Raw genomic sequence first — 16,067 nt, 5'->3', positions numbered from 1 at the left:
AAAGAGTCAAGCTTGCTCTGTCACCCAGGCTGGAGTGCCAGTGGCATGATCATAGCCCACTGCAGTCTCGAACTCCTGGGCTCAAGGGATCGTCCTGTCCCAGCCTCTTGAGTAGCTGCGATTACAGGCATTAGTCAGCATGTCCAGCTGCATTTTATTCATTTATATGGATTTTTCATATATTAAAGATATTAAAACTTAGACTGTACATATATTCTCATTTCTGTTTGTCTTTTATCTGCTTTTTAATTTAAAAAATGTATAATGCTTTGACATAAGGACGTTTTATCATTTTTATTTAGTTGCACATATCAGTCTCTTCACTTATGGTTTCTTCCTTTGCTTTTGTACCTGGAAAGACTTTTTTTAAGTAAAGGATAACAAGTTAGAAACTCAGCCATATAAATACTGCTTTTGGGAATGTGCGTTTTTACAATCTTTCTGGAAAGCAGTCTAACAATATATGTTAAAATTAAAAATGTGCATACTCTTAGGACCCAGAATTGCAAAGAAATAAACACACCAGAGTATAAAGTTATATGTACAAAGATATAGTTACTGCAGCATTAGTTGTAGTAGCAGAAAACAGGAAACAACCTGAATGTCTATCAGTAAGAGAATGATTAAATACATCCTCTTATACCTCTATTGTAGAATATTGTTCAGCTATACAACAAAGTGAATGGGATCTATGTGTATTGTTGTGGAAGAACATTTGTGATATTTCAGCAGGGGAAAAGCTTCAGAATGACTATAATATTATTCCATTTTAGTATCACAAAGCAGAGCAAACCCCAAACCTCTAAGTGGAACTGGATAAGTATTGAGAATAATGTGGGAGGTTACATACTCCTCTTTTAACATTATTTATTTATTTTTTTTAGTGGGTTGTTATTAGAGGGGAATAGAGGAAAAACTGCTTTATACATATATTTTTCTGTTTGGGTGTTTGCATTTTATTGATTTGTATGAACTTTATATGTTAAAGATATTAATACTTAGTCAAATATTATGAAATAGGCCGGGGGCAGTGGCTCATGCCTGTAATCCCAACACTTTGGGAGGCTGAGGTGGGTGGATCACATGAGGCCAGGAGTTTGAGACCAGCCTGGCCAACATGATGAAACCCCGTCTTTACTAAAAATATAAAAATTACCCAGGCATGCTGGCGGGCGCCTGTAATCCCAGCTACTTGGGAGGCTGAGGCAGGAGAATCACTTGAACCCGGGAGGCAGAGGTTCCAGTGAGCCGAGATCGCACCACTGCACTCCAGCCTGTGCGACAGAGCAAGATTCCATCTCAAAAAAAAAAAAAAAGAAATATTAATGTATTTAATAAATGTGTCATAAATTGAATGCCTATATCTGTAGGCCTTTTGTTGGTCTCTCTGTTCTGTTCCTTTGATCTATTTGATCACTCTTGTGCCAGTGCCACTAGTCTAAACTATCATAACTTTATAGTAGTCCTTGATAGAGAAGAGTAGGGCAAATCCTCGCCAATCTTACTCTTTTTCAGGAGGAACGTATTCTTGGTTCTTTGTTCTCCTATATACATTTTAGAATCAATTTAAGCTCCATTTTTTTAAATTGGCATTTTGATAGGAGTTGCATTGGCTCTCTAAATCCAATTACAGATTAGTGAAGAACTGACATTTTTATAGTAACAAGTCTTTTCAACTGTGAACATCGTTTATCTCTTTATTTACTCAGTTAATAAAGTTTTGTGGGGTTTTTTTTGTTTTGACAGAGATCGCATACCTCTTTTGCTAGATGTATATTAGAATTATTTTGTTTTCAGTGACCCTTAGAGACAGGGTCATGCTCTGTCACCCAGGCTGGAGTACAGTGGCATGATCATAGCTTACTGCAGCCTCCTATTCCCAGGCTCAAACAGTCTTCCTACCTTAGTCTCCTGAGTAGTGGGGACTATAGGCACGTGCCACCCTGCTCAGCTAATTTTTTAAATTTTATGTGGAGATTGGGCGTTGCTATGTTGCGCAGACTGGTTTCGAACTCCTGGCCTCAAACTATTCTCCCACCCCAACATCTCAAAGTGCTGGGATTACAGGTGTGAGCCACTGCACTTGACCAGAATTTTTTTTTTTTTTTTTTTTTTTTTTTTTTGAGACAGAGTCTCGCTCTGTCACCCAGGCTGGAGTGCAGTGGCACAATCTCGGCTCACGGCAAGCTCCACCTCCCAGGTTCATGGCATTCTCCTGCCTCAGCCTCCCGAGTAGCTGGGACTACAGGCACCCGCCACCACGCCCGGCTAATTTTTTGCATTTTTAGTAGAGACGGGGTTTCACCGTGTTAGCCAGGATGGTCTTGATCCCCTGACCTCATGATCCGCCCGCCTCAGCCTCCCAAAGTGCTGGGATTACAGGCGTGAGCCACTGCACCTGGCCTCAGAATTTTTTTTAAATCCTGATTTCTTTATTGATGATATCTAGAAATGCAGTTGATTTTTGTCTATTGGTTTTATATATAGCAGCATTGCTGATTCTCTCATTAACATTCTATATGTAGATTTATTGGAGTTTCCTCATGGGCAGTCATATCCTCTGTGTGAATAGTGACATTTTTTTTTCTTTCCAATCTCTAGCTCTTTATTTCTTATACTTGTCCATGCTAGCTAGGACTTCTGTATAGTATTGAATAAAAGCTACAATGTTATACCCTTGGCTTTTTCCTTGATTTAAAGGAAATTGACTGAATGGTTCTCCATCAAGCATAGTGTTCGCTCTGGGGTTTACGTGTGTGTGTATATTCTTTCTGAAGTAAAAATTAATTTTCAATAAGAAGATCTAGTAATGAAGTATAAAAGAAATGCTAGTTTACTTCATTCACTAAATTTTTGTTCAAGTCTTCTTGTCTTCTGATAGTTGTCTTCTCCTTAACAAAACCCCAACCTTTAGCCCCAAAAGATCTTTCAGTGGAAAAATATTTGAATGTTCAGGGGTTATAATTTTCATCTTCTACAGCTATGACTTGAAACCCTGGCTAGTCAAAATAACGCACAAGGCATGACGTAGAATTTTTTGTATTGCTTGATCTTCTAATTTATATGAGTAAATTATGGGTTTTATATTTATAGATAAAGAGAGGAGAAATCACTTCAGGTAAGTGTACAAAGGAATACCACTCATCTTTTAATGTAAAAAAATTGTTTTCCAGATAATTTGCAAAATTTTATAAAATTTAAAGGTTTGCATTTATAAAATATGATTGAATTGTAAAAAATTTATACTCAATTTATGTATACTTTAAGGCACTGCAGGAAAGGAAAAGGAAAATTTTGGACGAAGCTGTGGAATTAAGTCAAGATCACTTTAAAAAATACCTAGTAAAACTTAAGTCAATCAATCCACCTTGTGTGCCTTTTTTTGGTAAGTTACTAAATATGGATATATTTTGAGGGTGAGCGTGTGATAGCCAAAAGAGAGCAGTCTTCAGAGGCATGTTATCTTTATTTTATATCTGAGCTCATCTACTTTTATTAGCTCTCTGTATTAATAAATAATAAAACTCTCTATTTTCTATAAAATGAAGACTATAATATCTCATAGGGTTGTTATAAATAAGGATTAAAAATATTTTGTCTGTACTACCTAATAAGTCTAGCACATAGGACGCACTCATGAAATGGTAACTGTTATTTTTATCATAACTATCTATGTCACATCTACAGTGTTTGCTTTCTCTTTAATTTATTAAAAGCTTCTATGTGATTTTTAAATTTAGAATTAAAATATTGTTGTGTATGATTGAAATTGAATGATTTAAATCAAGTTTTGTCAACTTCAACAATTTTGGTATTTTGGGCCAAATAATTCTTTGTTGTGATGGGCTGTCGTGTGCGTAATAGGATCTGTAGCAGCATCCTGGCCTCTATTCATTACACTCCAATAGCACCCTGGAGTTGTGGTAACCAAAAATGTCTCTAGACATTCCTAAATATCCCCTGGGGGACTAAATTGTCCCCAGCTGAGAACCACCAATTTAAATGAATCAGCAATTACGCATGAAAAAGGGACTAAAAACTTTTTTATTGTTCATGAATGAGAAGTAATTATTTTTCTATCTAAATTACAGTCTCTGAAAAAACAGAATTAGTTTATAAGCCTATAGACTTATTAACCAAAATTGGCTTAAAATTAATTTATTAATAATCACCTAAGATACTTGGCATTAAATATTTATAATCAAATATTAAAATATTTGGTCAGAATAGATTTAACACAATTTGCACTTGGTGAAATTAGAGTTTAGAAAAGCTTAATTTGCCATTTCTTAGATTAGCAGCCTTTATTTTTGTACAAGCCAGTAGCTTTTATTTTCTTTTTATTTTAAATTCTTTCTCTTTAAAAAATGCTTAATGGAGAGTTAATGATTGTTTATCAGAGACTTAACATTTTAGTAGTAGAGTTGCTGAATAGTATAGGATGTCTTTCAACTTTACTAGATCAGTTGTTTTCCCAAATAATTGATTAAATAACAAAATTTAAAATAACTTTTCTTTAAATTCTTTTTTTTTTTTTACTAGGAATATATTTAACAAATATTCTGAAGACCGAAGAAGGGAATAATGATTTTTTAAAAAAGAAAGGGAAAGATTTAATCAATTTCAGTAAGAGGAGGAAAGTAGCTGAAATTACTGGAGAAATTCAGCAGTATCAGAATCAGCCTTACTGTTTACGGATAGAACCAGATATGAGGGTAAATATTTTCTTTGCATATCTTTAGAAGAGAACGTGTTAATGGGTACCAAAAAAAAAAAATAGAATGAATAAGACATACTATTGGATCGCACAACAGGGTGACTACAGTCCATAATAATTTAATTGCAGATTTAAAAGTAACTGTAAGAGGCCAGGCACTGTGGCTCACGCCTGTAATCCCAGCACTTTGGGAGGCCAAGGCGGGCGGATCGCTTGAGATCAGGAGTTGGAGACCAGCCTGGGCAGCATGGCGAAACCCCGTCTCTACTAAAAATATAAAAAAAAATTAGCTGGGCATGGTGCTGGGTGCCTGCAGTCCCAGCTACTCAGGAGTCTGAGGTGGGAGAATCACTTGAGCCTAGGAGGGGTAGGTTGCAGTGAGCCGAGATAGCGCCACTGCACTCCAGCCTGGGTGACACAGTAAGACTTCTGTCTCAAAATAATAATAGTAGTAATAACTATAAGTATCGGCTGGGCATGGTGGCTCACGCCTGTAATCACAGCACTTTGGGAGGCTGAGGCGGGAGGACCACTTGAGGTCAAGAATTTGAGACCAGCCTGACCAACATGGTGAAACCCTGTCTCTACTAAAAATACAAAAAATTAGCCGGGCATGGTGGCGGGTGCCTGTAATCCCAGCTACTTGGGAGACTGAAGCAGGAGAATCATTTGAACCCAGGAGGTGGAGGCTGCAGTGAGCCGAGATCATGCCACTGCCTTCCAGCCTGGGTGACAGAGGGAGACTCCGTCTCAAAAAATAAAATAAAAAATATTAACTATAAGAGTATAATTGGATTATTCATAATACAAAGGATAAATGCTTGAGGGAATGGATACCCCACTCTCCATGATGGGATTATTCTACATTACATGCCTGTATCAAAACATCTCTTATACCCTACAAATATATACACCTATTATGTACCCATGAAAATTAAAAATTTTAAAAATTAAAAAAAAATTTTAGATCTTGTGTGACCTGTAAGAAATATCATAATTATTTGTCTTGCTATGAAAATAATAGAAAAAAATTAATCAGTAGATAGCATGTTAAACATTAGACATTCTACACTATCTGCAGTTGTTAATATTGTTACTAAGTACTTTCTTTTGAAAGTATTGCTTCTTTGTGTAGTTGGTTCAAGCTACACCATAAAAAGTGAATGACAAAGTAGAATGATGTCCATGCAGTAAAAAGAAAATTCATTTCTAGATTTGATAGCCATTTTAGATAATGTTACATGTAGCAAAATAACGTTATATAATTCATAAGAACAGTGTGTTTAAATAGGAAAAGGGTCAGCAAAGTGGTATATGTATGCCTGGCAGAAGATGATTTTTCTAACATCCTGTCGATTGATGTTCTATTTTGAGCAATAGTGTGTAATATTGATACTATAGTACTATAAAATATGAAACAACCTTCTAAATTAAACTATGATATTATGTTTATGCTAAATGAATGTTATTATATTATACTTGAACTTGGGAACATATTATAACTATCAACCAGAATAAGTTTACGTGTCATATTAAAAACTGCGCTAAACTTTTTAGACATAATCTGCATGCAAATTGGGCATATTGAGTGAAAATATCCACCATTACTTCCACCCTCCTAAATTATGAGATAGAAACTTCTTTGTTCCCGGTTCAAAACAAAGTACCCTAAAGTCCTAAGAAAAAGACCACCTAAAGCATACCATTTATAAAAATGATAGGTCGGGCACAGTGGCTAATGCCTGTAAATCCAGCACTTTGAGAGGCTGAGGTGGGTGGATCACCTGAGGTCAGGAGTTCAAGACCAGCCTGGCCAACGTGGTGAAACTCTGTCTCCACTAAAAATACAAAAATTCGCTGGGTGTGGTGGCACGTGCTTGTAATCCCAGCTACTCAGGAGGCTGAGGTGGGAGGATCGCTTGGACCCAGAAGGCAAATGTTGCAGAGAACTGAGATAGAGCCACTGCACTCTAGCCTAGGTGACAGAGCGAGACTGCATCTCAAAAAAAAAAAAAAAAGATACTTGCTCTTAAAAAAAATAAAGGTGGTAACCTACTGATGGTGACCTATTTCATCCCCTCTCACCATTGAACCCGCCCTCTGTGATGTGGGGCTTCGGAGAGCTAAGGAAATATGGTCCCCACAGGAATAATGTTACACTTTAATTCGGTATGCTTGAAATAGTACTTTTAGTATTTATATCTCAGAACCATACCTGCTAATTGGTGTTTGTGGTGTGGTCTAGGGTTCCTACCACCATTTAAAGCATTTTTGGGAGGAAGTGTCTTCTATATGATTGAGTCAAACAAAATAAATTTAAAATGTAGACAAAGTAGCTATTCACTTTTCAAATCATACTTAAATAAATAGTATTTAAAATAGAGCAAAGGATGAGGAAATCAAGAATACTGCTGTTATAGCTTTCTGAAAGCCTTTAATTACTAGTGGCTAATATTTAATTTAGCTAACCTGAACATAAGAACACATTGTTTCAGTATTGTTAAAAGAGTAATACAATTTTCTTGAAATTGGCAGAATGCCTTAAAAATGGGAAGAATTTTATACTAGAAATTTTAAAGCTCATTTTGCCTACTGCTAAAGCTAAAACCTAGTACCATTTTTATATATGCTTCTAAACCACTTCAAAATTAAATAAAGCTAAATCCAGTAATTTGCTGCTAAGGAATTTTTCTAAGGAAATCATAAAAAATGTACAGAAAAATTTATATATAGGAGTTAATAAAAATAATTATTATAATAGCAAAAAATTAGAAAGTACCTATATGGATAACTAGCTATATGGAGATTATTACATTCTGAAATATCCATCTGATGAAATACTATAGAGTTAAAATTTGTATTTTGTAAAATAAGCAAACTGGCTGGGTGAGGTGGCTCATACCTGTAATCCCAGCACTTTGGAAGGCTGAGTGAGACTCCATCTCAAAAAAAAAAAAAAAAAAAAAAGCAAACCACATTGAAAAAAGTTAATTGAATATAAACTTCAGAAAGATTAAAATTGATATCCCAGTTTTTCAGGAAAATATATATATAAATTATTAATAATTATATATAAATACATATATACATGCATATATTTACATGCACAGTAAAATCATTGGAAGATAGTCTAATATTTAAATGTAAACAATGATATTTCTGGTTTGTAAGATTACTGTTTCTTTTTCTTTTTTTCTCTTTTTTTGGCAGTGCTAAATCACCTGAATTTTCTACGTTAAAACTTAAATTTAAGCTTAAAATATTTTTTGATAAAGACAAAAATTTTAAACATTTTATTTATTAGGCTTTTTTTAAGAGGAGAGGTCTCACCATATTGCCCTGGCTGGTGTCAAATTCCTGGGCTTAAGCAGTCCCCCGGCCTCAGCCTCCCAAACTGCTAGGATTACAGGTGTGAGCCATCATGGCTTGGCTCAGATAAAAACATTTTTTATACTAGAAGTTAGCACAGATAGGTTTAACTTTATAATCATTCTTTCTTTCTTTCTTTCTTTCTTTCTTTTTTTTTTTTTTTTTTTTTGAGACAGTCTCGCTCTTGTTGCCCAGGCTGGAGTGCAATGGTGTGATCTCGGTTCACCTCAACCTCCGCCTGCCAGGTTCAATTGATTCTCCTGTCTCAGCCTCCTGAGTAGCTGGGATTACAGGCATGCGCCACCACGCCCAGCTAATTTTGTATTTTTAGTAGAGATGGGGTTTCTTCATGTTGGTCAGGCTGGTCTCAAACTCCCGACCTCAGGTGATCCACCCACCTCAGCCTCCCAAAGTGGTGGGATTACAGGCGTGAGCCACCGTGCTCGGCCTATAATCATTCTTGACATTACTTTTAAAGTAATTTAAATGACTACTTTTAAAGTAAAAGGAATTTCCAGAGTAATTATAAATGATCAAGAATGATCTATAAATTGGATTAACAGACCTTAATCTAATTTATCTCCACTTTTTTTCTGATTATCAAAACTTCATTGTGGATTATAACCATAGCTTTGTTCTAAACACTTTTGGTAGCTTACTAGTGATGATCATTTGTTACAATGAGTAGGAGTAAAGTTTCCTAAGGAATAAGTAGTGCTACTGCTGAGCCATTAAAATGATAATAAATGAAAACTCATATTCTTAATAGAACTTTAAGACTAGAATATAACTTCCACAGAAATTATATAATCTTATTCAGAAGTAAAGAGATTGGAATAAGCAACACTTGTGAACTTTTCACATATTGTGGGCTCTTAATGTGTTATTTTTTAGCATTAAATAAGTAATTTTCAGCAAAAAATTTTAATGAGATCTTATTTTAATAAGATCTAAAATATATACTTACTATATATGCACTTGTGTTATTTGTTTAATTCCAGAGATTCTTTGAAAACCTTAACCCCATGGGAAGTGCATCTGAAAAAGAGTTTACAGATTATTTGTTCAACAAGTCACTAGAAATTGAACCTCGAAACTGCAAACAGCCACCTCGATTTGTAAGTCTTTTATAATTTCGGGAACAAGTGTTCTGTTTTTTAAAATATTATTTTCAATGTTTAACAACCTGTTATCTTAAAAATGTAATTGAATGGCTGTTCCTAGGTGTTTTGTTTGCAGTAATATACTATTTCTAAAACTGGGGGGGGAAATGTCAGCCTTTTGATAAAATCTGGTTTATGCCTTATCTTGGTACTACTTATTTATGTGTCTACTTTTGATCCCTCCTAGAATAATACAAAAAGGTGTGAGAAAGTGAGAACTTAATAGGTAGCTGAATGGAACAGAAAAAAAAAGAAAAGACCTGGGAAGGAGTAAGCAAATGTATTTTGGTTCTTGTGACTTGATATGACTTCTGCCATTAGGGCTCCATGGTCCATAGTTGCCTCTGGAACCCATCTCTGTCACTAGAATTTGATGCTACAATTTCCAGTTACTGCAGGAGTTTGCAGTGGCAACAGAAGTAGTAGAAGATGAACTCTAAGTAGCTAAAAGTGAAGCAAGATATAGAAGGAAGTAAAAACACAAACCAACTTTAGGTGAAGCAGGAAGTCAGGTAGTTTCATGCTATCTCATCTTCACAATTGTGTGATATATGAGGGGACTTCAAAAAGTTCATAGAGACCGGGCATGGTGGCTCACACCTGTAATCCCAGCACATTGGGAGACCAAGGCAGGCAGATTGCTTCAGTTCAAGAGTTTGAGACCAGCTTGGGCAACATGGCAAAACCCTGTCTCTACCAAAAATACAAAAAAATTAGCCAGGCATGGTGGTGCACGCCTGGGGGCGGAGGTTGCAGTGAGCCAAGATCACTCCACTTCACTCCAACCTGGGTGACAGAGCAAGACCCCGTCTCAAAAAAAAAAAAAAAGAAAAAAGAAAAAAGAAAAAAAGTTCATGGAAAAATGGAATGAAAAGATAAATTTTTTTGATGGAATTAAAAGATAAACATAAAAACATAAACTTTATTTCCCAACATAAGCTTCCTCAAGTTCAGGACACTTTTGTAAGCGCTAATACCAACCATTTTGTCCATCCCTAAAAAACTAAAGATCCTGGGAATTTAACCATATCATTGCAGTCTCTTTTACATTATTAACTGAAGAAAAATGGTTGCCCTTTAATTTTTTTTTTTATAATTAGGAAACAAAAAAAGTCAGAAGGAGCCAAGTCAAGACTGTAAGTGGATGCCTAATGATCTGCCATCAAAACTCTCAAAGAATTGCTCTGGTTTAATGAGAGGGATGAGCAGGAGCATTGTTGTGGTGGAGAAGGTCTCCTTGGTGAAGCTTTCCTGGTTGTTTTTCTGCAAAAGCTTTGGCTAACTTTCTCAAAACAGTCCCATAGTAAGCAGATGTTATTGTTCTTTGACCCTCTACAAACTCAACAAGAAAAATGCCTTGAGCGTCCTAAAAAACTGTTGCCATGACCTTTCTTTTTGTTTTTGTTTTGTTTTTTTTGAGACAGAGTCTCGCTCTGTCACCCAGGCTGGAGTACAGTGGTGCAATCTCAACTCACTGTAACCTCCACCTCCCAGGTTCAAGCAATTCTACTGCCTCAGCCTCCCACGTAACTGGGATAACAGGTGTGTGCCACTACGCCCGGCTAATTTTTGTATTTTTAATAGAGATGAGGTTTCACCATGTTGGCCAGGCATGTCTTGTACTCCTGACCTCAAGTGATCCACCTGCCTCGACCTCCCAAAGTGATGGGATTACAGGTGTGAGCCACCATGCCCAGCCTTTTTTTTTTTTTTTTTTTTTTTTAATGGCAATAGAGTCTTGCTATATTGCCCAGGCTGGTCTCAAACCCCTGGCCTTAAATGATCCTCCTGCCTCAGCCTCCCAAGGTGCTAGGATTACAGGCATGAGCCACTGTGCTTGGCCAACCTTTGCTCTTGACTGATTTGGTTTTGCTTTGACTGGACCACACTTCCACCTCTTGGTAGCCATTGCTTTGATTGTGCTTTGTCTTCAGGATGATACTGGGAAACCGTGTTTCATTTCCTATTAACAGTTTTTCAAACAAATGCTTCAGGGTCTTGATCCCACTTATTTAACATTTCATTGAAAGTTTTGCTCTTGTCTGCAGCTGATCTGGGTGCAGTGGTTTTGCCATCCATCTAGTGGAAAGTTTGCTCAACTTTAATTTTTCAGTCAGAATTGTATAAGCTGAACCAGTTGAGATATCTGTGGTGTTGGCTATCATTTCTGTTGTTAATCATAGGTCCTCTTCAATTAGAGCAGGAATGAGATTTTTTCCTCAGAAATTGATGTTGATGATCTGCCGCCATTGGCTTTACCTTCCATATCATCTGATCCCTTGTTAAAAATGAGTTATCAATTTGTAAACAGCTGATTTCTTTGGGGCATTGTCCCCATAAACTTTTCATAAAGTATTAGTGATCTCACCATTCTTCTACCCAAGCATCATCATGGATTTGATATTTGTTCTTGCTTCAATTTTAGCAGAATTCGTGTTCCTCTGATAGGGATTCTTTACAAACCGATGTGTTATCCTTCTTAGTATCTCAAACTAGATATGTTTGAGTATCTCAAACTAGATATGTTTGAGCATCTCAAACTGTTCAGACATGTTATAATAAGTTAGTATGAGTTTATTTTGATGGAAAAAAATGAAAGTCATGCATAGTTATTTCATAATAGACATTTGCCATGCACTTTTTGAAAACCCCTCATAGATCTTATTCTCATTTTACAAAGGAAAATAGTGAGATTCCAAGGGGTTAAATAAGTTTTTCAAGGCTGCATAGCTAGATATTGGCACAGTTGAGATCTTAACTCAAGTTTTCTGATCTGAGTTCTGTGTTTTTTATTTGATTACTCCTGCCAGAACTTGAAAAATGGGACAGAGGTGATGGTGGGAGACAATGATAGGAATTTTCTCCAAAGATTTTTAAAGCATCAATGTAGAGGTTGATCATTTAGTATAGGAAGGGGAAAAAATGATCTTTTTTTTTTCTGAAGCATATAGCATAATATGTTTCATAAATTATGTTCCCAGTAAATGTTTGTAAAATCTATATAGATATTTTCAAAGAGAAGTTTAGGTTCATATGTTTTAGGAGTAAAATGTGATTTTCACATAAAATTTCAAGAATTTTATTTCTGCAGTGCTGAAAAGAGACTTACTTATATTCCAATTCATTTTAAAATTAAGCCAGTCAAATCCAGAAGATTCTACTAGAATGATACAGGCTGTCATTGCAGACTGAAGGACTGCACGCTTAAGAACTGTATGCTTAAGAACTAATAAGACTAATAAGGTAGCTCTAAGTCACAGAAACAAATTGTTGTCTATGCAAATTTGTGACATTAATTATGTTTGCTTTTCTCAGCCTAGGAAATCAACTTTTTCCTTAAAATCTCCTGGAATAAGGCCTAACACAGGCCGACATGGCTCTACCTCAGGTACTTTACGAGGTCACCCAACACCATTAGAAAGAGAACCATGTAAAATAAGCTTTAGTCGGATTGCTGAAACTGAGCTGGAATCAACAGTGTCAGCACCAACCTCTCCAAATACACCATCTACTCCACCAGTATCTGCTTCTTCAGACCTTAGTGTATTTTTAGATGTGGATCTCAACAGCTCCTGTGGTAAGTATTTGATGTAAACCGCTTGGTAAAAAAGGAATCCTGTGTCTCAGATAATTCTTATCATTTTAATTAGGGAACTATAGAATCCTTTGCAAACTATATTAGTGTGAAAAGTGATATCTAAATGTGAAAATAATGATTAATACAAGAAGTAGAGCATAATTTGTGCATTGTTGATGCATATTATCTTCTAATTTACTCATTCAACAAAGATTTGTTTAGTACCTTTTGGGTCCCACTACCAGTCTAAAGGGAGCAATAGATGATGAATAAGAAAACAAATAGATAAGTTCTGTGATAGAGGGGGAACCACTTAATGCTAAGAAGGAAAACCATTCTAGATACAGAAGGTTCTGAGTTAATTTTTTAAAAAACTAACATGGCAAAAGATGATGATAAAATTCTGCACTGTGTATTACGTATTATTTATGGAAACATTTAAAAAATAATACCTACATGTTACCTTCCTTTTCAAATTAATTTTTCTTATTCCAATAGGCAGCAATAGCATCTTTGCTCCAGTGCTTTTGCCACATTCAAGTAAGTATAATTTAAGTTGATTCTTAATGAAATGACTGTAAAGATAATAATCTGGTTGATTATATTTGAGTATTTTGAGTTTTGGCAATATTAAAGAACAAGAAAAGTTATAAATAAATTTAATTATTTGCTTACAACTGTGTACTACTTAAGCTTCACTATAGTTTATTTTCATCATTTTTTATGATCTGTTCTAAGGGCTGTATGGCCTTGAAGAAATTACTTACCTTCCCCACACTTGTTAAGGATTAAATGAAATAACTGTATAGAACACCTAGCCGGGTGTGGTGGCTCACGCCTGTAATCCCAGCACTTTGGGAGGCCAAGGCAGGTGGATCACGAGGTCAGGAGTTCAAGACCAGCCTGGCCAACATAGTGAAACTCTGTCTCTACTAAAAAATTACAAAAATTAGCCGGATATGGTGGTGCACGCCTGTAGTCCCAGCTACTCAGGAGGCTGAGGCAGGAGAATCACTTGAACCCAGGAAGCAGAGGTTGTGGTGAGCTGAGATCAGGCCACCACACTCCAGCCTGGGCAACGGAGTGAGACTCCATCTCAAAAAAAGAAAACAACAAAACAAACAAACAAAAAAACACCATCTAAAATATTGCTTGGCATAGAATGAATAGTAATTTCATGTCAGTTGTCTTTCTTCCTTACCCTTTTCAAATCATTTTCCCATGGCAATAATATAGTAAATGTTTATCAGGTTCCCGGGATATCCTCAGTCACTTATTTTTTTTTACATCATCTTATTTAATTAAAGCAGTAAATTTTAAGTAAAGCACTATTCTATCATTCCTAATTATTTCATAATTTATAACTTTTAATGCTGTAAACTTTCTTTCTGTGGTCATTTGTTTAAAACAAAATAACTCAAAAATGAACACAGCACCTTTGGGTATAATTCTCTCAATCTGGAGAACATCTGCTTCGAGCATAGTAAAATATATAGTAGCAAGTTTCCCTATCTTATGAGAAAAATAAGCTTAGTCTTTTAAATGTTTAATTTTATATTTTAGGTTAAAAAATTTTTATCTGGCCAGGCACAGTGGCTCATACCTGTAATCCTACCACTTTGGGAGGCTGAGGCAGGAGTATCACTTGAGGTCAGGGCAACATAGCAGTTCAAGACTAGCCTGGGCAACATAGCAAGACCCTGTCCTCCCTACCAAAAAAAAATTTATCAAAGTGACATATTAATAGAATTTAAAAGGGAAATAGTGCTAAGACACTTAAAATGAAATTAACAGTGGTTCTCTACCTCAAGTCTCCCCACTCCTTTTCTTGTTCTCCAAGGACACTTCCACATTTCTAAATGATGTTTTTGTAGTCTCTCTTGAGTCATTAATTTTAGACAATGTTTACTGATCTCCTCTTATGGTGGATGAGAATTTCATGTCTACCCTGCCTATACTTAACCACATTTGGGGCAAATATTATTCACTGCTATGCTTCCTTTCTTGTATAGCTCTGTTTCCTGGAGTTCATAATTGCCTCATTAATGTTTAGATTTGTTTGTTTGTTTAGGTTTGTTTGTATGTTTGTTTAGCACCTTTCCATGCCCTTTCATAGCAGTTTTCCATAAAGTCAGGCAAATCAGGGAACCTAGCAGGGTTTTCCTTTTTCTTTTCTTTTCGTTTCCCTTTCCCTTTCCCTTCTTTCTTTCCTAGAATCTTCCTTCCTGGTGCCTTTTTGTCCCCCGTTCCAGTTTGGACTGGTTGATATTCAGGTATTGACCCTGCTGTCATCCTAGAACTTTCTTTCATTGTCATCCTAGAAATTCCCTTTGCCTCCCTCCTGTGTTGGATCCTTGTTTTTGGATTCCTCATCTTCTTTCTTGATATGCTCCCTGATTTTAATAGGAGTAGCTCCTTTAGTAGCTACGTGAGAAAAGATAATACATATGACTTAAACTTTTTAAGTTATTGCATATATGGAAACCTATTATACCTTTTTTTGTTTATTTTGTGGAAGCCTATTATACATTTAATTGTTAATAGTTTAGCTGGAAATAGAATGTAAAAAATAATTTGACTCAGAATTTTGAACTCATTTTCCTCCACGGTCTTCTGCCTTTCATAATTCCTGCTGAAAAGTCTAATACCATTCATTTACTTACTCAGTACATAATTTTTAAATGCCTGATAATGTGCAGGCACTATTCTAGATGTGAGAGTGATAGCAGTGAATGAAATAGACAAATATCTTTCTCTCAATGATCCTACAGTTTCAATCTTTTTTTAAACTTAGAGCATACTTAACAGTAGCAGAGGACCCAATGTCATACAGAGGGACCCAAATATACAGAGCCTTAAATGAAATAGAAGTTTATTCCTCACAATAGCCAGAGCAAGTAAGCAACTCTGCTCCACTGGGTTTTCCAGCTAAGCAGGGCAATTCAGAATTCTCAAGATGTGACTTCCATCTCTGTCTTGAGTACCTGCTGTAGTTGTTACCATTTTCTGGCTAGCAGGAAGATGGAGGGCAAGGAGCTTTGTTATAAAAACATGATCTGGGCCGGGCGCGGTGGCTCACGACTGTAATCCCAGCACTTTGGGAGACCGAGGCAGACAGATCACCTGAGGTCAGGAGTTTGAGACCAGACTGACCAACATGGTGAAACCCCATCTCTACTAAAAATACAAAAATTAGCTGGGCATAGTGGCGTGTGCCTGTAGTCCCAGCTATTTGGGAGGC

General features: G+C 36.0%; 1 protein-coding gene across 11 annotated transcripts in view, besides 1 other annotated feature; it reads left to right on the top strand.

The window, feature by feature from the left end:
- Positions 1–16,067, top strand: part of SOS2 (SOS Ras/Rho guanine nucleotide exchange factor 2) — a 114,753-nt gene that overhangs the window by 88,556 nt on the left and 10,130 nt on the right. For all 11 annotated transcript variants that reach the window (XM_047431723.1, NM_001411020.1, NM_006939.4 and 8 more), the window contains 5 exons: positions 3,268–3,385; positions 4,543–4,715; positions 9,088–9,204; positions 12,565–12,826; positions 13,325–13,366. In XM_047431723.1, the coding sequence (XP_047287679.1) occupies positions 3,268–3,385; positions 4,543–4,715; positions 9,088–9,204; positions 12,565–12,826; positions 13,325–13,366 (712 nt within the window). The remainder of the gene's footprint in view (positions 1–3,267; positions 3,386–4,542; positions 4,716–9,087; positions 9,205–12,564; positions 12,827–13,324; positions 13,367–16,067) is intronic.
- Positions 3,689–4,393: an enhancer, noted in NCBI's record as "OCT4-NANOG hESC enhancer chr14:50605652-50606356 (GRCh37/hg19 assembly coordinates)". NCBI's record gives its function as "activates a minimal SCP1, AML or CMV promoter by ChIP-STARR-seq in primed H9 embryonic stem cells {active_cell/tissue: H9 hESC(primed)}" and the evidence as "EXISTENCE:reporter gene assay evidence [ECO:0000049][PMID:30033119]".

Source organism: Homo sapiens, chromosome 14 (assembly GCF_000001405.40).
Source record: "Homo sapiens chromosome 14, GRCh38.p14 Primary Assembly".
Classification (NCBI taxonomy): domain Eukaryota; kingdom Metazoa; phylum Chordata; class Mammalia; order Primates; family Hominidae; genus Homo; species Homo sapiens.
This window is presented reverse-complemented; position numbering and strand designations above follow the sequence as displayed.